General features: G+C 37.8%; 1 protein-coding gene across 53 annotated transcripts in view; it reads left to right on the forward strand.

Moving 5' to 3' along the window:
* The window catches only part of AFDN (afadin, adherens junction formation factor), a 145,460-nt gene that overhangs the window by 67,805 nt on the left and 54,617 nt on the right, over positions 1–23,038 (forward strand). For 33 of the 53 annotated variants that reach the window (XM_047418792.1, XM_047418793.1, XM_017010882.2 and 30 more), the window contains 10 exons: positions 2,510–2,604; positions 3,837–4,099; positions 7,949–8,018; positions 12,803–12,921; positions 16,733–16,794; positions 16,916–17,121; positions 19,800–19,945; positions 20,276–20,370; positions 20,800–21,065; positions 22,721–22,864. In XM_047418792.1, coding sequence (XP_047274748.1) covers positions 2,510–2,604; positions 3,837–4,099; positions 7,949–8,018; positions 12,803–12,921; positions 16,733–16,794; positions 16,916–17,121; positions 19,800–19,945; positions 20,276–20,370; positions 20,800–21,065; positions 22,721–22,864 — 1,466 coding nt within the window. Of the gene's footprint in view, positions 1–2,509; positions 2,605–3,836; positions 4,100–7,948; positions 8,019–12,802; positions 12,922–16,732; positions 16,795–16,915; positions 17,122–19,034; positions 19,056–19,799; positions 19,946–20,275; positions 20,371–20,799; positions 21,066–22,720; positions 22,865–23,038 lie in introns of all 53 variants that reach the window. The other 20 variants (XM_047418788.1, XM_047418789.1, XM_017010878.2 and 17 more) reach the window with 1 other exon arrangement.

Below are 23,038 nucleotides of genomic sequence, written 5' to 3' on the forward strand. Positions count from 1 at the left end.
GAAGAAAGAGACTCAGGCACTTTGGGCAGAAATTGACTATTTGTAGAATACTTGTTGAGGAAGGGGAGAAAATTTGGGATTTTTGTTTTTGGCAACGGTTTTATATGTTACTCCCTGTGAGATAACTGTCCTTCTAATTTGGAGAGGGAATGGACTACTGCACTCTCCCTTTCCTCCCCAGCTCAAACCAAACATCCCTTTATCCACTGAATCCTGTGGCCACCATTTAGGTTCTTCAAAATCTGTAACAGCTTTAACTATGGTTTCCTATTATTACTGTGAAGTAATAAGAGAGCCTGGGAAGGATGTTTATCTCTCTATCTGTTGACAAATTTCTATTACCATGGTGAGGTGAGGAGAAGGGAGAGACTGAGAAAGCAGCTTCTGTCTCTCCCTTTCTCTGTTTTGAAATCTGTTGATGTAGAAAGGTGTGTGATAGCTCTTTATTGTCTCATAAGAGACCTTTCAGAAGCATTCAGAATTCGGAAGAATATGAATGTGAATTTTTCTTTCATCTCTAAACACATTTTTCATGTTCTGTTTTTAACTTTGCGTTGAAATGTTCTTGTTTCACACATGATTACTTATTTACTGCTTTTGCTTTCTTTATAATTTATTTGTGTCATTTCTCTGTGACTATATTGCATTCAGTTTTCTTTATTTTTATATAAGTATTCACTGCTGACACATCAAGTCTTTATTGATTGCTAACTATGGACCGTATGTGGAGTGATCAGTGCCAGGGTAAAAATTTTTTTTTTTTTGTAAACCTAGCCACCAGGGAGCTCAGAGATGAGGGAGATAAGTAGATGGAAATCATCATACGATACGGTTAGTGGTACAATTAATGTAACAGATGGGGTGCTCTGGGAGTAGATAAGGGGGACACATTTCTTAACTAGGGGGGTTCATTAGAACTGCCTTTGGTGGTTAAAACACACAAAATAGTAAACATTACTGGAGGATTTGGACTCAGCAGGTCTAGAAGGGAGCTACCTATGTCCAGGAAAAGCCCCAGATGATTTTGATGTCTTGTTCAGATCAGGACTTTAGAGCAGTTAGAGTTGAAAATAAATGTTTCAACACGATGTGAAGCAGCACAGATGATGAACAATTTCTTAATGGGTGTTAGGCATTAGTGTCTCTCAGGTACTTCAGTCTCATCTTACCTTTACTCGATGTCACAGATTTCTGAAGTATTTCAGAAATAGAAAATTTTGTCATTAGAATGTAACTTTGTGTACCCTAAAATTAACATCAGTTCTAACAGGACTTGCATTTTTATGGTGTCTTTTGTCTGTGAGAGTTTAGCGGTACCACTGCTGAGAGATTTTAGCAGTCTCAAACTCTGTGCACGCTCATACTCCAAACTGTTTAACGTGTGAAACTCTCAAAGCTTACGTTCCTAATTGCAGTGACTAGAGATTTTAACAGGTAATGGAATCAGCGGGTTTGAAAGTTATAAGGCACTCATAAAGCAGATCTTGGCGACTCTTACTGGTTTGGCCTTTTCCTAAGCTTTGGTGGGTGGTGTGCTTGCCACACTAGACTGACTGCCATGGCTATGGTGCAGGTGCTAAGCTCTGCAGTTACATCATCATTCATGGGTTCTGGAAGGCACATTTTCTCATATGTCAACTCTGAAATCAGAATACCTCATTTTTAGTTAAGGTAATGAAGTGACATTGTCCTCATCTGGGATACAGTAGGTGAAGAGTGAGAAAACATGTCTAGGTGTATTGGGACTAGAGGGCTTCGGCAGAGCAGCTTCCTCCTCCTCCTCACCCCTTCCCTGTCATGGAAACACATGCTCATATAAATTAAACATTCCAACAGTTCATAAAGGTATAAAATGACAAAAAAAAAAAAGCCAAAAAACCCAGTCTTCCTTTTACTCCAGTTCTACTCCAGGGAGCTAACCACTTTTAACAGTAATTCTTGATCAGTAATGGACAGCAGAATTACTTGGGGTGATTTTTCAGAGGACACATGCTTAGGCCTCATCCCCAAGGATTTTCATCCAGGTCTGGGGAGCGCTATGAGAACTGCACATTTAAAAACCTCCGTCAGTGATTTAGCTGTGCCCTCAACCTGTATTGTGTTGTGTGCCATAAGGGCAGCAAGAATACTGCAGGAAAGATCTGGTCCGAAGGGAAGGCCTGTGTGTCTTTGATGAGCTTCATATTGCTACTACAGTTGCTCCTCAGAATCATTAACAAACGTCCAGGGCAGTGCGGTAGAGAAGCCTTTTTCAATGTAATAAGAATGTGGTGGAATTAATGCTAGTGTTAGCACTTTGTGTTAATCAGAAACTGATACGTTTATTTCTTATTTTGAATTTTCTGTATCCAGTTTGTTAAATTGTGTTACATAAGTTTGGAGAATTTTTTGAAAAGAAATCCTGAGAAATGAGAACTGTAGTGCCTGAGATAACCTTTTGTTTGTTGGAAATAACATGACAGTAATATTAGACTTTGCAAATAGAGCTGTCTTCCTTCTCTTCTCACAGATGGTTCTGACTCTAGAGATAAGCCAAAGCTTTACCGCCTTCAGTTAAGTGTTACTGAAGTTGGGACAGAAAAGTTGGATGACAACTCTATCCAGGTACGTAGTCTGAGCTTCCTGCTGCAACTCTGACATTCCAGGAGGCATAACGTATTGTACAGAGCCTGCCACATGGTAATGAAAGAAGGAATTATAATTACCGACTTGTATTTAAATATAAATAATTTATCTACTCTGGGTCACTTTTCTCTGCTTTAGTGTGGAAACAGCAGAATGTGAGTTTATGTTCAAGTTCCACCTCTAGAAATTTGGGCTGGTGATGACATTGCTCTGAAACTGCTTCCTTTTCTCTAAAAGATGGTGATGATACTTTTATAGGTCTATTTCAGGATTACAGGATATAACCTATGCAGAAGTGCTTATCACTGGAGGTCTGACCACATAGCATTAGGCATTCGGTAAATTCTAATTAAATTTAGCTTAATATGGTTCTCAAGTACTTAAAACAGAGCTTAACACATTATTTGAATAAATGAAGTCAGAATTTGTCACTTCTTTGAAGTTGAATTCAGGCGAATCACCCTTGCTCTGTACTTAGTTCTCAATTTGTAAGATGATGGGTTCAGATTGTTAATATCATTTTCAATTCTACCATTTCTTCTTTCTTAGCACAACACTAAAAATAATAATAGGAATCTTTAATGCTAATGATCTGTTTAGATTTGTCCATTAACCATCTAACAAATATTGGTTAAGATGACTGTATGCCTTTTTTTTTTTTTTTTTTTTTTTTTGAGACAGTCTTACTCTGTCAGCAGGCTGGAGTGCTGTGGCACGATCTCGGCTCTCTGTAACCTCCAACTCCCTGGTTCAAGCAATTCTCCTGCCTCAGCCTCCTGAGTAGCTGGGGTTACAGGCACGCGCCACCACGCCTGCTAATTTTTGTATTTTTCGTAGAGACGGAGTTTCACCATGTTGGCCAGGATAGTCTCGATCTCCTGACCTCATGATCCGCCCATCTCGGCCTCCCAAAGTGCTGGGATTACAGGCGTGAGCCACCGCGCCTGGCCAACTGTATGCTTTTTAATGCAAAGTTACAGTATGCCTTAAGTCACTGGGTACTAAAAATAAAAGGTCTGATTGGTTTGACTTTTTTTTGACAGTTTAATTATTTTTATACGATTGAGGGAAATCCACTTTAAAAGGCACTAAAAATCCAGAGCTTATTAGGTTATATTTGTCATAAAAGGGGTACTCACGGTTTTAACATTCTGTGTTTAAATGCTGTGAACTTCATGATGGGAGTTTCTTTGGTTTCCTTCGGTTTCCAGTTGTTTGGCCCAGGAATTCAGCCCCATCACTGTGACCTTACCAACATGGATGGAGTGGTCACTGTGACGCCCAGAAGTATGGACGCAGAAACCTACGTGGAAGGCCAGCGCATCTCAGAAACCACCATGCTGCAGAGTGGCATGAAAGTGCAGTTTGGGGCGTCCCATGTATTTAAGTTTGTGGACCCCAGTCAGGATCATGCTCTTGCAAAAAGATCTGTGGATGGAGGCCTGATGGTTAAGGGCCCAAGACATAAACCTGGGTAAATAGATTAACCCTAAGATTTAAAATGTTTTGATTATACTTAAAGTAGTTCAGATTATTCATAGATATCTTGGCTTTTTATTTTTGTTTCAATTTTTAAAAAAATATCAAAGTGAAGTTTGTGATTTTGGTTCCTATTGTTAACTTGGGTTGGTTTTAGAGGAAAGAAGAAAGGTCTTGACTTTGTCTTAAAATTGGAATTTCTCACTGGTTTTAAATTGTTTATATTTAAACTTTGTTTTTTAGCCAGTATACTAAAACAGTACCTTTTCTTTTGTGAAAAAAACATGGTGTTCTTTGTAATTATTCAGTGTAACTAAGATTATAAAATTTTTTGAAGTATTCTTTTCTGTGACTGATAATGAAACACATTAAGATCTCTTAAGGAATTCAGAATATTTTAGCTCCACCTAGTGCTTTTCTGAAGACTTGCATTGTGGGCTTAGTAAGGGAAAACAGAAAGCCTTTCTTAATGACTATCTAGTAAAATTTTTTTGTAGGTAGGGAATATGACTTCTCCTTTGGTTTTACTTTTTAAAACATCCTGTTAAGCCACTTCATTGTCTATTTTTCATGCTGCTTAAAACAACTGAAAACTCCCCTAGATTGTAGGCTTTCTTCCTGAAGCACAGACATGAACCCGCGTGGTCTTCCCTGCTTGGCCTTTCCCATTGTTTTGTTCTACGGCATGCCTTTGATTAGCCACCCAGACCTTACACATTGGGCCACATATGACTATTTAGAATTAATGTCTTTCTCCAAGATGAATACTTGGTGGGTTATCACATATATTTATTTGTAAAGTTCACAGCTGTTTAAGATCCATCCCCAGCTGCTCACCTCACCTTGCACCCCAAGTGTCAGCAAATGACCATACCTGTGGCATCCAAGGAAACCAGCATGTGCTTTTCCTCCCTGCTTCCCAAGAAAATCCATTTCTTTCTAACACTTTCATCTTTAAACTAGTGTATTTAAACACCATCCTTCCATTCTTCACAGCTTTTAACTGTTTCTTTCTGAAGGTGATGTTTTTCATTGATCAGCCGTGTCCCTATTTCCTGTCCCTTGTCATTAGCTTTACATGGGCTCTTCCCTTCAGTAGCGAGTCATGATTTCATGCTTAGATGTTCATTTCAATCATCAGCTTTTCTTCAGCCCTGTTTCTTCCCTTCAGCATCAAAAATCTTGATCTGGTATATCCTGACTCCCTGTTTATTTTTTAGGCTCACTGAGGTTTGTCCAAAGAGATTATGTATTGTCTGAAACAGTTTCTTCCGCTGTGTGTTACATGTGGTCTCTCAATAGTACCTGTAGTTATTGCCCTTATATACAAATGCCCTTTATTCTTGAGTTGTAATATATTTCTTGTGACATGTGTTACTCCTAGTGTTACTGTCCATCTCTGTTCTCTGTATAAACACAATTCTAGTAGCAGCCTGTGTCCCACACCTAGTCTGCCCTTCGGTTTTGCTTGTAATGTTTTTATATGTGTGAGACAATCTCCTACTGTATTTTTGCCATGTGGATCCTGCTTTGGAAGCCTGCAGATGTCTCTTCCTACCATATTTCTGGCCAGCAGCAGAGATCATTGAAGAACATGGCTTAGGTTTCAATGAGGAGAATGTGCTGTGAAATTTTGTTACTATTGTTAGGTATTTTTCTGGCAAATCTGGTAAAAGCTGCTTGGCGGCTGAACATACCATCCATAAATTAGAAAGGACTCTTGTTTTTTTAGGAACATTAATTTTGCTCTAGTGTCAAACGATTGTGACAGATTCTGGCTAGATAACTCACATACCCTCCAATGCAGATTTCATAGTGTGTCTTCAAATCCTACTGATGGTTATAAACGAGTGGCAAAGTTTGATATTGATAGTTTGGGAATTTTAGGGCCTCCCGGTGATACACTGACTCATTAACTGATTTGTTAATCTAGTTTACAATTATCAAGTACCCAGGGCATGAGCTACTATTCTCTGAATGCTGGGAGGAGCGACCCATGATTGTTACAGTCAAAGGCCATAGTTTGATAATTTCAAAGTCATATTATAAAGTCACTTTGGTTGGTCTTGTCCACATATCCAGCCTGCAGTAAAAATGAGCCATGTTAAAACTTGAAAGAGGTAGCTTTGGTGGGAAAAGTTAAAGAATTTTGCATGGTGGAAATTTGTTGTTCTAGGATGATAATTGTAAGTGGAATCAAGAAGGCTTTGATTCTACTCACATACTACCCACAAGAGGAAGTTAGGGGTGGACACTGCTGTGTGCAGCTTTGGTAGGTGGCAGAGAAGCTGGCCTGCTGTCATTGTTACTCCTGTTGTCAGAGCCGATAGCTGGACTGAATCTCCCACTCAAACTGATGGGAGCCAGCAGGGCATTTCCATGTTTTTGTGAATATCTTGGTGATAGATTATGAGTATTTAATTTCAGAATATTGGTAATATATTGCAGAAAGTTGTGTGCAGAAAATTGACAATTATTTGGCCTTTAGTAAAAACTTTTACTCTTTCAAAAGTTACTATTTTAAAGCATGGTATTATTTTGCATTACAAAATGGTTTTATTTTCTTAGTGGTGAGATAGAGGAGAAATTTGTACCTGCTCTTCTAATCTGAAAAGTTGTTTTCAACTTTTACATTACTTCCTTGTTTCTTTCTATTGGTTGAGTGTAAATAAAAGTTTCCCATTACCATGCTGCTTTGAAATTAGACCATATATTAATATTTTTCAAGTATTATAACGGGACATTTCATTCTTTTTAAATTATGTTTTGCAGAAATCCAGGAAATTTAAATACTAATTCATCCTTGTTGGTTTCCAGGTGTTTTTAGGGCTTTTTTTTGTGGAGGTGGGGAGGGCACTCTCCAATGAGCTGGGACCAGTGAGTTGCATTCACCCTTCATTTGTGCTGAAGAATGTAGTCGGTCCCAGCTTGTTAGACTCTTCAATCTTCATAATGAGATTTTGCTTATGAGTTAGGTTTTCAAAGTGACATATTTAGAAATTTTGATATTTTGAGATATTTGAAGAATCAGTTTAAACTAGGATAATTTTTGATTTGCATGCTAACATTATCAAAAATGTCCCACTTTTTAATTTGTAGCCTAAGTAGTGATACTCATGTGCTTTACAAAAATAATCAGATTGACTTTCAAATAGGAGAGAAGCTCACCGCTGTTCCTCATGTGTCACTTTCCCTGTGTCCATAAATAGGGCCGCCGGCACTTCAACCTTGTACACCTCATTTATATGCCATTTGCTGCCTGGATAGACTTACATAATGAAATAACCTGGTTTTTTATGTTCCGTTTCTTGTATAGTTAAAAAAAAAAATATGATCGGGCCGGGCGTGGTGGCTCATGCCTGTAATCCCCAGCACTTTGGGAGGCTGAGGTGGGCGGATCACCTGAGGTCAGGAGTTCGAGACCAGCCTGGCCAACATGGTGAAACCCCATCTCTACAAAAAATACAATAATTAGCCGGGCATGGTGGCCCTTGTCTGTAATACCAGTTATTTGGGAGGCTGAGGCAGGAGTATCACTTGAACTGAGGAGGCAGAGGTTGCAGTGAGCCGAAATTGTGCTACTGTACTCCAGCCTGGGCAACAGAGTGAGACTTCATCTCAAAAAAAAAAAAAAAAAAAAGATACTGGGAATATTGAGTATATACCAGTAAAGAAAGTTCATAAGGTGGTTTTTTAATTCTGTAAGTTCGTGTGCTGAAAACAGAGCAATTTCTTAAAAATCTTTGACATTTGGTATTTTAGTTCTTCCTTGTGTATTAAGAAGAGACTATGCCTGTCATTGGAATGTTATTAAGTCAGTGTGTTTCTTGTTTTATCCCATCAGAATTGTTCAGGAGACAACTTTTGATTTGGGAGGAGATATTCATAGTGGGACAGCATTACCGACAAGCAAGGTAGGTAATTATGGATTACCTGATAGAAGTGTGCTTGCTATAGGACACCATGGATGAATACAGTAGTGGTGGGGGATGTGTTCCCCTTATTTGTGGGGGATGTGTTCCAAGACCACCAGTCAATGTCTGAAATCATAAATAGTACAGAGCCCTATGGATACTATGTTGTTTTCCTGTATATATGTACCTGTGATAAAGTTTAATTTATAAAATAAGCACACTAAGACATTAACAACAATAACTGAAGATAAAATGGAACAATATATATTATAACAATATACTCAAATAAGAGGTATGTTAATTTGGTCTCTGTCTCCTCTCTCAAAATATCTTATTGTATTGTACTCACCTGTTTTCGGACTGCAGCTTACCACAGGTAGCTGAACTGTAGAAAGAGAAACTGCAGATAAGGGGGACTCCAGTAAACTGGTAATAGGTGCACTTATAAAACATCTTTGTAAAAACAGACTTCCCAGTGGCCCCAAATGTGGGTTGTCCTAATCTGCTGTGTTGTTTGTTAGTGATACATAAAAGAAAGTTACCAGATCTTTCTTTTCTCTAAGGCCAGGTTGAAGCAGAGCCTTCATGTTTGCTAGGCTTTCTCCTGTGTAGTTAGCCTTGCTCAGTCAGAGTACCCTTAATACACTCCTTTTATTAACCCTTCAGTTTAGGTACTAAATCCCATTCATCAGTTAACTTCTCAGACACTTTGCTTCCATAATGATCCCTTATCTCTGGAATAATCAGTTCATTTCCTTTCTCATTTTCATTCTCTATTACTGGATAACAAACCACTCCAAAACTTTGTGGCTAAACAGCAACCATTTTATTTGTTTACCATTGTGCAATCTGGTTTGAGCTCACCTGGGCAGTTTGTTTGCTGGTCTTGCTGGTGGTGACTGGTGTGACCACCTTCACCTAGAAGATCAGTTGGTAGCCAGTGGCTGGAGTGCAGGGCCCACTGACCCTCTCTCTGTGCTGTCTCACATTCTCTCCATGGGACCTTTAGCCCCATTGGGGCAGCCAGAAGTCGTAGTGTTGTGGGACCTCACAAGAACCACGGAGCTTCCAGGCCTTCTTGAATGTTAGGCCCAGAACTGACACAACCCCGTTTCCTCCACCTTTCATTGGTTGAAGCAAATACAGGCCCAGTCCAGATTCAGGAGGAAGGCACTACTCAAGGTGTGATTTATTGAATGCCATGGTGCCACAAACTCCTATGATCCTGGAGTGTTCTCATCAGCATCAAAACACGTTACAGTGTCTTCTCTTTTAGAAAACTCTTTATACCCCTCCAGTTTTGACCCCATTTTTCTACTCCTGTTTGCTACACAGCTTCTTGGGGAAAAAAAAATCATCTATGCTTGCTCCCTCCACTTCCAAACTCTATGTTCTTTCCTCTGCTCCTGTTCATTCTTGCCCCTCCCTCCACAGGGACTGTCTGTCAGGGGGACTGATGACCTCCCAGGTCCCAAATCTGGCACGCATTTTGTCCTGTCTTACTTGTTGCAGGAGTTTTTAGCCAGGCCACAACCACGTACTTGATGCACTTTCTTCTGTTGGCTTCTAGGGTATATTACCCTCCTATAAACCACCTAGTAGTGGTTTCTCCTTGGTTTGATTTGTTGGTACCTCTTCCTCTTATGCTTCACTCCTAAAGTTTGGAGGGCCAGGGTTTCAGATGTAGGGCACCAATCTGTTTTCTTCCTGCATCTTTCCTAGGTGAGCTTACCCTGTTGCCTGAGTTTAAATACCATCTAATGTTAATTATCCACTAATGTGTACCTTTGGTTCTGACCTCTCCAGACGCATATCTCTCTCTCTTTTTTTTTTTTCTTCCTGAGACAGAGTCTGCTCTCTCTCCCAGTTTGGAGTGCAGTGGCATGATCTCGGCTCACTGCAACCACTGCCTCCCAGGTTCAAGTCATTCTCCTGCCTCTGCCTCCTGCGTAGCGGAGATTACAGGCACCTGCCACCATGCTTGGCTAATTTTTGTATTTTTTAGTAGAGATCGTGTTTCGCCATGTTGCCCAGGCTGGTCTTGAACTCCTGAGCTCAGGCAGTCTGCCTGCCTCGGCTTCCCAAAATGCTAGGATTACAGGTGTAAGCCACTGCACCCAGCCCCGATTCATATCTCTAAAGGTTTACTTGACATATCCACTTGCATATCCTGTACATATTTCAAATTAAATCTAGCTAAAAGAAGACTAGATTTTCTTTCTTAACAAACTTTCCCTGATCCTTCCCCACCTTAGAAGACAATACTACCATCTGCAGCGTTGCTCCAATAGAAACCTCTTCCCCGTTCCCAGTTGGTCCCTTCCTTCTCTCAGCCTCTGCATGCAGGGGTTCGTTCCTCTGCCTCTCTGGCTTAGGCTGCAGCCATCACATGGCAGGAGGACCACACGGCCCCAAGAGCAGCCTCTTCCATTCTACCCAGCTCATCATTCTCCTCACATTTAAAAAATGTAAATTAGATTCTAGTTACTGTTCTGCTTTCGAAGCCCCTGGTGGCTTCCCAACCCATATATCAGTCTTCACCCTGACTTGCTCAGCCCCTATGCCCTGAGCCTGCTTCCTCTCAGCGTGTCTCTGTTGCTCACTCAGGCCACACGAGGCTTCCATCCTGTGCCCGTGCCTGCCTCTTTCCTCCCATTGGAAGGCCTTTCTTGTGCTAGTGTTTGTGCTTTTGTCTTTGCTTTTCACACTCTGGCCCCTTCTTGTCTCAGACCTCAGCTTAAAGCCACATTCCTGAAGAGGTTGTCCCTGAGCATCCTGTCACTGTCACAGCACCTGATGTAAGTTATTTATGTGGTCTTTATTACCATCCAATACCTGCTGTGTTTGTTGACCAGCTGTAGAATGTGAACTCTGCAAGTGGGGCTCCTGTTTCATACGTCATTGCTGTATTTCTATTGCACTTTTCTTAAAAAATGCCTGCTGTGTAGAAGACTCTTGGGAACCATCTCATGAATAATTGAATGAGCCGAAGAAAACTGTCTTTATAAAAATTTTCGTTTCTTAAAAAAATGTGTAGTCCACAAAGAAGACTTGGTAAATAGAGGAAAAAAGTAAAAATGAAAATCCGTCATCCACAATTTATAGTTGACCTTTGATAGTAATGTTGTGAGGGGTCCTTTTCTGGACTCTGGTATGGGTCTATATGTTCATGTATGCATTTTAACACAATTGGATATATTTGTCTCCACACACACCTTTCTTGCTTTCTTCAGCTGTTACTCTGTGAGCATTTTTTAGTACTTTAAAGTCACTTAAAAACAAATGAAAACCATTCTGTAGTATGTAAGCATATAAACATACTCTAATTTCTTTATCCATTGCCCTATTACTAGTCATTTATAACAATTTTTTAATAGTGTGTAAATAGTATTGCCATCCATTGACCAGCAATTGTGTTTCTATAAATCTGTCTTATGGGCCGGATGTGGTGGCTCACGCCTATAATCCCAACACTTTGGGAGGCCGAGGTGGGTGGATCATGAAGTCAGGAGATCGAGACCATCCTGGCTAACATGGTGAAACCCTGTCTCTGCTAAAAATGCAAAAAATTAGCCGGGCGTGGTGGCGGGCGCCTGTAGCCCCCTACTCAGGAGGCTAAGGCAGGAGAATGGCGTGAACCTGGGAGGCGGAGCTTGCAGTGAGCTGAGATCGCGCCACTGCACTCCAGCCTGGGTGACAGAGCGAGACTCCGTCCCAAGAAAAAAAACCAAAAAACTCTTATGGAAGGATTCATTGGGTGTGTATATAAATATATTTACAAGCATAATTGTCTTGTCACTCTGTACTGATGAACATTTTAAATGATGTAATAAAGCATTGGTTTAATGAAGTATGATGAATAGACAACAAAATGTTATACAGCCATTACAAGTCTGTAATATAAAAATAAGTGATATTGTAAGATGTTTGTAACATCTGAAAAAGTGTTTTTTTATCAAGAAGATTGTAAATCCCATTTATGGAAAATATGAAAAGCTGGAAAGACGTACAGTACAGTAATAATCGCTAGGTGATAAGAGAAACATGATTTTTTATTTACTACTTGTGCCCAGTTTCTGTAGTAAGCAGATGTAATAAGAAATTTTACATGAAATTTTTTCTACAGTGAATTTCATTGTATAAAATTTTTTCTTTTCTGGTGATTTTCTTAATGTAGGTAACTCATCCTTTTGTCTGCCTACAAATTCCATACAAATGGTTAGAATTGTATACTTTTTAGAAGTATTTAAATATACCTGATTGGGTTACCATATAATATGTGTTTTCCCCGGTGTTGATTAAGGGCAAGAAAGAAGCCAGTTTCTGTACTGAATTCATTAGGTATTGAGCTATAAGGAGTAGGATTTCTAAATCTGTTCTGAGAAATAATAAACTTTAAAAAGACCCTGCCTCTTCATGTTGTACATATTTTCTTATGTCTTATCCTGATTTTAAAATAACTTGTTGGAATCGAATTACTATTAATGTACTTTCAGAAAAATCATCATGTGTGTGTTACCAGCTTTGCCTGCCTGTGTTTTAAAGGCAACTCCTAGCTCTTTGAGAATGAAAGTGGCTGTGCGTCTTCCTATGCTTTAATACCAGTGTGCTTTGGGCACTCCCCGTGGACATAGTGTCCCCAGCATTGCTTTGTTATTTCCTGGTCTGTGTTCTTGCCTGCCCTGCTTGGCAGCCCTGTATCAGATCTCTGCTTGCAACGCTGAGTGTCAAGCTTGGTTGGTCTGTGTGAGGTTCTAAACCCGTTGTGCTTTCTCTCCATGTAGAGCACCACTAGGCTGGACAGCGACAGAGTGTCGTCTGCCTCTAGCACAGCCGAGCGGGGAATGGTGAAGCCGATGATCAGAGTAGAACAGCAGCCAGATTATCGCAGGCAAGAAAGCAGGTAGGAAACACATCATTTTTCAATGGTGAAAGTACTGAAAGTATTCCTAAAAAAGGGTTGGGATAAAGATTGTTGAATTTATAAAGGTTCAGCTGACATGTTTACAATGTTAGCAATAATATTTTAAGGGCATTTCCTTTCTGTGTTATTGAATTGAAAGAAATGCTTTACCAATAATTATATCCCTCACTTATATGCCACAGTGTTATCAGATTGAAATAAGAGTACATTGAATTAAAATGTTGCCATTTAAAATTTGCTACTTTGTAAAAACATAGAGAAAGGGAGTTTTTATAGGATTTTAATATTTGATGATTTTTGTATTTAGAAAAATCTGGTCATTTCACCCATTTCTAGAAGAAATCTTCATCTGTTTAAAAATATGTAAGATCAAAAATGATTTTGAAACAGATTTTAAGAATTATAAATGCCATATTATGTCTTGTGCTCTAATGTGATGTGTCTCCCTGTGGAGATAGATGGAGGATGAATTTTTTTTTTTTTCTGACATTGTTCTTGCCGATTTCTCTGGGCAGAGAACTGTCTTGTTATTTCCTTGTCTTATGATTTTTAACGTGTCACCTTAATCAGAATCCTATTTCCTTGTGACCTCTAGAATTATTTAAATGTTGCAGAGTAATATCTTTGCATTAAACATGGTGGATAAATAACAGATACTGACTAGTGGAACCAGCAGCATGATTTGGTGCTGAACACCTCTACCCCAGAGCTCTGCGGGAACTCAGACAGAAATACAGAAAGACTGCATGACTTCTATGGCATTCTCATTATCAGCAGTGAAACTGGCAGCATTCCCCCTTTGGGGCTTTTCAGATAGATTTTTGAAGAGGCCATTGTGTTTCCTTCAAAGATCCAGTCAGTGAGGCAGTTAGATGAGGCAGGCGACTTGCCCAGGGTCACCTATCAGTTCAGTTGCAGGTGACGAAGACACAGTTCTTCAGTTTCCCAACTTCCAGCAGAGGGCACTGGATATTGCAGGATTTTAATATCATTCATCACCAGTTATACATGTGTAGACTCATAAGGGAATCCCAGGTTTTAACTTTATTTTTATTGTGGATTTTTGGTTCTAATGCAAGATTTTTATTGGCTATGTGAATCTTATTACATGTGATAATAAATAGTTTACTTTCCGTGTTTGTACTTGTTTTTGTTGGTGGATTATGGAGTAGGATGTTCAGAATGGTAAATTGGTATTGTAAGGAATACCTCTATGTATTTCTAAGGTGTGACTGAGAAGTATGAATCATAGTTCTTAGCTCATAAATATTTGAGTAAATGAATTCGCACGAGGGAGTGGATTGATTAGGATAATGCTTTTAATATATGCAAAATTAGTGATTAATATAGTGTCAAAATAGTAATATGGTTAATTGTATGTCAGGAATTATTTTTTACCATAAACACATAATTTAATTTTACAAGGTAAGATTAGTTTGCAGAGTTATTAAAGGCTTTATTTTAATTATAAACTATGTTGTTTTGTTGCTATTACTACAATGATGAGAACAGATGAGCCTTTCTGCTCCATTCTTTGTTTTTCACATGGGCAGTGTTATAATAAGCACTACTTAATTTAACTGATGCAGTCATGAAAAATTTAAACGTGTTTAAAATGCTAATATTAGTGAAGGAAAAAACCCTTTTGAATGGAGGGGACGACTTTTAATTGTCACTAAATTTTTTTTTCTTTTATCAATGACAATGTAAACACTTTTTTACCAGATTTGTTAAAATATAATTGGTAAAGTTTACTCAGGTTCACTTTATGAGATATATAACTGCCTAGCTACAATTTTAGTTGTCTGTAAATATGGGAATGTAAGGGAGATGTGTTAAAATAATTGATCATTTAAATTACATTGTTTATAGAGGCATTTTTCTTTTCCTTAATTGTTGAGTTAAATCATTAGATCATAAACTAAATAATCAACTCTGAAACATATAATTTGATAAAAAGAAGATTTGGGTTGTATTTATTATTAGTAAAATATTTGGTTATATTTTTATTATTTTGTATAAATATATTCATTTCTCTTTATTCATTTTTTGGTGCATGGAGAAGGTGAGGATGGAGGGAAGAGAATGGTTTGCTGTTGAAAAAAAAATTAGTTAGCCAGTCTGTAAACTATTATAAATCTGTAATCATCATAAGTTATTCCTTTTTATTTTTGAAGGAAAGTTTTTTATTATCTATATTAACTTATTTAATGAGTGGACCAGCAATTCCAAATACTTAATTCTGGCCGTACAGTACCAGTTGTCTAAGATTAACAGACACATTGCTGCTGAAATGACTGTTGTTGAAGTCACTAATGAGTATTTCTCATTCCAATATCAAGATAACTGTGTTGACTTTCCATTTCACCAAATAAGATTTATTTGAGTAAGTATTAGTCTCAGTTTAAGTCAATATTTAACTCAGTAGAGATGTTCATCACAGTTTAAGTCATTAATATCCCCACAATTTCATTTTTCATTAAGTTTGCGGAAGGCAAAACACATGTTCCCTGGCTCTTACTGTCAATTTAAATTTTCTTATTTTTTCAGAGACATTTTTGAGAATTCTTCCTGGTTATCTCTGTTAAAGTTGAACTAAAATGATAAAGACATTGAAATGTTAAGGAAGCTAATCACTTGACTATGTGTTTCGCTGGTTTTTGGTAAATATTGTATATAAAATACAGTGGGTAGCGAACTTAGAGTAATAAGTAAATGGCTTGAAGTTCTAATCACATGGCTAAGTGAAAGAATAAGCTGAGCATTATTCATTGAGAAAAGCATAAATCCACAAAGATAAGGAAATCTAAACTGGATTTGTAATTTATTATCTTACACATTTAAAGAGTCTGTGCCTAGCAATGGCTTTCAAAATGCTTTTGAACTGTGGTTATAACACAAGATTATATCTTACATTGTGCTCTGGTGAACACACATACAAATGTGTATTCAACTGAAAGAGTAGTTTCACAAAACAGCCTTCTGCCCTGCCAATGGGTGATGACACACTGTTTGAAGAATATTTTTATAGAGATAGAAATGAACCTAACTTTTGAATTAATTTGATCTGAATACCTGGAAATAGATAAACATCAGCACAATGCTAGTTTTTATAAATGTTCCAAATTATAGTTTCTTTGTATTTATAATTTTTGACAGTTCCTTATTTGTGTAGTGTCAGGCTAAATGGTGGAAGGGACCTGGAATTTATGTGACCGTAAGAAGAAATGTGAGTGAGTAGAACATCTCTTTATAAGGCATGCGTCACTGTAAGCATTGGAAAATGATGATAGTAATGGCTGAAGGAGACTTGCCGTGGTCAGCTTGTCTAACCCTGTGTCAGCAGAGAAAGACAAAGTCCAGGTCTTAGGAAGCTTTTCCCTTTCAGTATAAGAACTCCGTTTCAAGCTTGGCATGGTTAGTTTTTCTTTGTGTCACTTAGTACTTTGTTTTCAGTGTTACCTGAGCCATAGCTGTAGCAGATGCAAGACAGACCGATCCCTGTACTAGACATGAAGTGTTCATTAATAATCCAGAATCACGTCAGATCTGCTGTCATGGCGGCGGCATATACTTCAAGGAACTAACCTTCTTAGAGGAGTCGTGATAAGATCACTCCCAATGCATTATTTGATTAGGCTACATCTGAAAACAAGGGATATTTTATTATTTTACGTTGGAAAGATTAGTATATAGATTTAAAAAGTAGTTGCAGAAATCTACACAGGTTGTCAGTAATATTGTTAGCCATGTGACCTTATTTTAAGTGATGTCAGCTTTCTTCTTTTAGAACACAGGATGCTTCTGGGCCTGAGCTGATACTACCTGCAAGCATTGAATTCAGGGAAAGTTGTGAGTAATTTCAGATTTCATTGTCAATGAATTATTTCTTGATCCATTTTACTCCATCTGATTTTCACATTCGTTTTTATTCTTTTTTCCTTTTTTCTTTGTTTTTGAAATCTTTCCACAGCTGAAGATTCATTTTTGTCTGCCATTATAAATTATACTAATAGCTCTACAGTCCACTTTAAGTTGTCCCCTACATATGTATTATATATGGCATGCCGGTATGTATTGTCCAACCAGTACAGACCTGACATCAGCCCTACAGAGCGCACACATAAAGTCATTGCAGTCGTCAACAAGATGGTGAGCATGATGGAGGGTGTCATCCAGGTACGTTCCAGCCGGCCAGCCATGCTCCTCCAGTGATTGTGGTTGTAATTGCTAAGCCAGTGAATTCAGCTTCTTTAAGGCTTCTCATTTGGTTACAAGATTTTTTTCTAAAATAAAAGTTATGTAAATATTGTAGGAAAATGTATAACTTTAAAGAGTTGAAAGGAAATGCAAGCTTTTTTCTATTTTGTTTTCCCTGTAAAACTTCAGCATAAGTGAAGTTAACTTGTAGTAATAGTTGTGAGAAAGTGCTGAGACTGTTGTGGGCTTTTGTAGAATTTTTTCTGTAAATAATTTGTTGAGATGAAGTTCATATAATATTAACCATTTTGAAGTGAACAATTCAGTCGCATTTGGTGCATTCACAGTGTTGTGCAGCCACCACCCCTGTCGGTTCCAAAACGTCTCCATCACCTCAGAGCGATACCCCTCAAGTAGTTCCTGGGGTTTTTCTCTTCCCCCGTTCCCTGGTAACGCCTTCTTAGACTTTTTAAAAATGGTTCTCAAAAGTCACTTGCTCCTGTGTAATGAGCCTAGACGTTGGTAGTAATTGGGCTTTTTGATAGCACATGTGTAGGTGTAATGGACATTGTAACATACTTCTCACTTAAAATGAAATTCTGTCATAAACCTGTTTTCAAAATTTCAGAAGATAAAGGTATTTTGTTGGTAGAATGGTTTGACTCCTTTACGTACTTTCTGTCCCGATCTACAGTTGATAAAATTTTCATAGCAGTTTTTCATCTACAGATGATTTGAAGATTTAATCTTTAAAGTTCTTAAAAGTAAATGTACAGATTTTTTCAGTTTTTCTGAATCACTTGTCAATGTTGTTATTTAACTTAATAAAACTCTAGTTATATAATGTTAATAACATAGATAGATTGGTTGCTTTTCTCCTGGCAGGATCATTTGAGGGAAACTAAGATCTTTTAGTTCCTTCAGAATTGTTTTCAAAGGCCAGAATTTTTCAAGAAATGTTTCTTTTATATTTGAGTGATTAGCATGAGTTTGATAGGGTTATGCTTCTTTTACCCAAGTTAGGAAATAGGTAAAAAAGAAAGTCATTTTATTTGGATACCGTTTTGTTACTTTCATGTCATTATTTTATAAACAAACATGGATTTCCTTTTCAGTTGTCATTCAAAGCCATTGTCTGTCTTCTATCATGTTTGGACTTACTAAGCCTGTTTCGAGTTGTGAGACACCTATCATAAAACTACCCTTGATAGCCTTTTCCTTATTGATGTGAACTAGTCAGTGAAATCACCATTATCAAACAAGTCTTTTAAACTTCAGATTTAGGGTTAGTATCCAGTGGGGGGAATCTTAAAGTAGTGGAAAAGAACTGTGGTAGTGAATAATTTAAATTCTATTTTCAAAAAACAAAGAATTTGCTCCCTTTAGTATAGGTGTAAGTTATTTATACACTTTTAAATTCTCATCTTCTCAGCTTTTATTTTGATTGTTTCTTGGTCTTTCCTGTCTCTTCCATTCCTATTAATTAATCTAGAGGGATGGACTTTCACCTTATTAGGTACCTTTTAAGTAAGTAGTAAGCACACCATATCACTGAAAGATGTTCGTTCACAAGTCCTTCCATTGTAAATCTTTTAAAGAGATCAGTGTGTTCATGTGTGTTTATGGTAACATCATATTTATTGATAAACTCTAAAAATACAGTTAGTTATTGTGCCAGTGGTAAGAACATAAAACTAATCCTTTAGGTCGTATACTTCTAAAGGTGCTTCAGAACCATAAATGAAAATGTTATTTTGGGAATAACATAACTAAATGTCGTACCTTCATGTCGTACCTTCATATTAGTGTTTTGATTTTTTTAAACTATCATGATTGTTTACAAGTTTCTTTCTCTCGTTCTGCTTGATTTCCCCTCGTCTGTTTTTCTCCAGGAAGTAGACCAGGTTGACCAGGTAGGACATCTGCTGGGAGCTGATCCTAGCTGTGTTGCTTAGCCAAGTTTCTCATGCTGCTCCCATGTCAAATAAGTAATACAACAGCTGGACTGAACAGCTCATAACACTCATTCAGCAACTGAGACATGCAGTACTAAAACCCTTTTTGACTGTGCAACCTTTATCGGCATTTCATAATTTCTGCTTAATGCACTTCAGTGTGGATATGAAATGACAAAAGTTCTGTTTCTTCTCTTTATTATTTATCCTTGGTTCCTATTCTTTGGATCTCATCTGAGGTTGCCTGGCCTGCACATGTGGTCGGGAGAGGATGTGATAGATCAGTACTTGATACTGAGTTGCATGGTGTCCAAGCCAGTGACTACAAGTATCAGGGTGGCTGTGGGTAACCATGGATACATGTATGTATACTGCACAGACTACCAGATAATGCACGGTCTACAATTTGGTGTTATATTATTTGATATCTCCATTTCTCCGCTGATTCCATCTATAAATTGTAGCTAACTGAATCCATATGTCTATGTGCATGAATCCTAAGAAATAGTTGCAGTGGTTATTTACTTCCCATTGCTATGTATGCACCCAAATTATTTTGCAAATATCTGGTATCTGTGGTAAATACCTTGGTGAAATGGGAAGGTACTGGTCTATCTTCAGCAGCTTTTCAAGAGCATTCCTTTATATTTTTATTACTTTTGTTTATTCTCTGTTGCTTATGGAAGTGTGTTCTGTCTACAGAAACAGAAGAATATTGCAGGGGCACTTGCCTTCTGGATGGCAAATGCATCTGAACTTCTCAACTTCATTAAGCAAGACCGAGACCTTAGTCGGATCACACTGGATGCTCAAGATGTTTTAGCACATTTGGTTCAAATGGCATTTAAGTAAGGAACACATTTTTGAAGGCGGCACTACTCTAAATAATTAAGTCATTTGTTTTCTTATTCAGTTTTCCAAACTAATTTTAAGATTTATATTTACCTTGATTGAAGGTGAATATAAAGAAGCATACATTTTTGCAAAATGTATTAACTACCTATAGTTATATCCTTAATATAGTTATACTGAATTCAGTGAGCTATGTTTCAAGATTCCACATTTTTTTTTTAATGGAAAATATTTTTTAAGAGTCCAGATTGTTTCCCATGTGATAACATGTCTGACAATAGCTGTCTGTCATGCTAAGATTACTTAAATTGTCTATGTATTTTCAGATACTTGGTTCACTGTCTTCAATCAGAACTTAATAATTACATGCCAGCCTTTCTAGATGACCCTGAAGAGAACAGTCTGCAACGACCAAAAATAGGTTAGGATGTTTTCTGACTGTCTCCCTCTATCCCGCTTCCTTCACGTTTAGCATCATTTTAATGCTTAGCGTAGGTAAGTGGAGGTGTTTTTAAAATAAATGGGATGTCCTTTTGGGTTTGGCAATCTTTAATAAATTTTAACGATTATTTGTTTTGTTTACAGATAGTTCTCATTTTGGTGTGTCATGCTGGCCATACTCTTTAAAAAGTCTCTTAAGGCCAAACTAATGATGTTAAGTGTAATTAGTTAATAACTATATGTAGTTTAAGATCATGTCACTGTTTCCTCTTGGAATGAAGTTGATATTTTTAAAGTAATTAAACGGCACTTACTACCATAGGTACCATTATCTAAATCTGCTGCACATTCAAAGGCTTCTTCCTGGATGACATTTTGCTCCTCTTGTCCTCTCACCCTGTCTGGGCAGATGATGTGCTGCACACGCTCACAGGAGCCATGTCCTTGCTACGACGCTGCAGAGTCAATGCCGCCCTGACCATCCAGCTCTTCTCTCAGCTCTTCCACTTCATCAATATGTGGCTGTTCAATAGATTGGTGACCGACCCAGATTCGGGGCTGTGCTCCCATTACTGGGGTGCGATTATCCGTCAGCAGTTGGGCCATATTGAAGCCTGGGCTGAGAAGCAGGGGCTGGAACTGGCTGCGGACTGTCATCTGAGCAGGATCGTGCAGGTGATTGCTGGTGCCACTCCCCAGCTCATGTGCTTTATGATAAAGGCATCTGATCTTTATGATGAGCAAGAGCTTCAATGCAGCAAAACCTCAATACCCTCTTTTTGGGGTTTTTCGTATGTACAAATAATGAAGTAGTGCTATGTGAGTACTTGGGCTGCGGTTACAAAGTACAGATTATTTTTTCACTGTATTAATTGTATGCCATAATTGTTACTGTTAAGTACTTAAGCCTGAATAAATCTAATAAAATGATTGCTTATAGATAAATAAAAATTCAGAGTTAGAAATGGTGGTGACACCAAGCAACTGCAGATTGTTTACATGGTTTGTTTTCTGATAATTTAATGTACACAAACTTTGTTTCATGCACAAAGTTATTTCAAATATTGTATGAAATTACCTTCAGTCTGTGTGTATAAGGTGTATATGAAACAAATTTCATATTTAGACTTGGGTCCCATCCCCAGAGATATCTCATATATGTCAATCTTCCAAAATTGGAAAAACTCCAAAATCTGAAACACTTCTGGTCCCAAGCATTTCAGTTAAGGAATACTGAACCTGTGTCAAAAACTGAGTGGCTTAACAGTTGCTCCACAGCCCTGGAGGCCAGAAGTTGAAATCAAGATGTCAGCAGGGTTGATTCCTTCTGGGGGCTCTGAGGAAAGGATCTGTTTCAGGCCTTCCCCCTAGCTTCTGGTGGTTTGCACGCAGTTGGCATTCTTTGGCCTGTAGATGCATCATCCCAGTCCCTGCCTTTGTCTTCGTACGGCATTCTCCTTGTTTGCCTGTCTGTGTCCGAAAGACTGCTTTCTATAAGGACAGCCGACATTGGACCAGCTGATCTTGTTTTAACTTGATGATTCCCTGGAAAGATGCTGTCTCGAAAAAAGATAACACTCTTGAGGACTGAGGGTTAGCCCTGCAAATTTTTAGGGGACACAGTTTAACTCATAAGTGGTAACCAGTGGACTGTAAATATCCTTAAAGGGTTCTTTATATTGAGATCAGTAAGATGGATTTCAGAACACTTTACAGTGAAAGATGAGTACCAGTTTTAAAATGGATGATAATTAACCCTCAAGAATACAAAGCCAAATAATATCCCAGTGGCTTAACCAGCTCTGAGGAAATTTTTTAGATATGAAAAACTAGGAGGTGATGTTTTGCAATTAACGAAATGAGTCATCTACAGCTTAAAAACCTAGGACTTTTTTTTTTAGTATTACGTATAATTTTTTTCTCCATTTTTAAACCTTTTTTTAAAAGAGATTTAGTATAGAGGCTAGACAGCTGGTTATGAAAAGTCAGGACGATGAAACTATTCATACACCAGTAATTGGTCATCTGAATGGTCAAGTAAATGTTTAGCTTTGGAAGAGAGTTTTTAAAATGCTTTACGAACATAAATCTAATTATACATGCACGTCATAAAATTAAGAGGGCATCTAAAAAGATGCCCTTTACAAGATAATGCTTTTAGTTCTATTTAATGTATATAGTTACTGTAAATGGAAGTCTGTTTCCTGAAATCATTCTGCATTTCAAAGTTAAATTAGCAAGTTATATTTTTATAAATATTACATAAAGGATAATATTTTTGAAATAACTTTACAAGTGTGATATTTTATGTCCTTTATTCTTTTACATAGGCAACGACTTTGCTTACCATGGATAAGTATGCACCTGATGACATTCCAAATATAAACAGCACCTGCTTTAAGTTAAATTCATTACAACTTCAAGCCTTATTACAGAACTATCACTGTGCACCTGATGAGCCTTTTATCCCAACGGTGAGTGGATGTTGCCACATTACCACACAGTGCGGGACATGTTTGCATGGGGACATTTGGATGAAAAAACAAAAGGAAATCCTATTTAATACGTTAACTTATTTATTCTCATCTTACAAGATCATTTTCGTGTTGCTGTCCAAGAGTTCAATGAAAAAACAGAAACTATACTCC

The sequence above is a fragment of the Homo sapiens genome, chromosome 6 (assembly GCF_000001405.40).
Source record: "Homo sapiens chromosome 6, GRCh38.p14 Primary Assembly".
Taxonomy (NCBI): domain Eukaryota; kingdom Metazoa; phylum Chordata; class Mammalia; order Primates; family Hominidae; genus Homo; species Homo sapiens.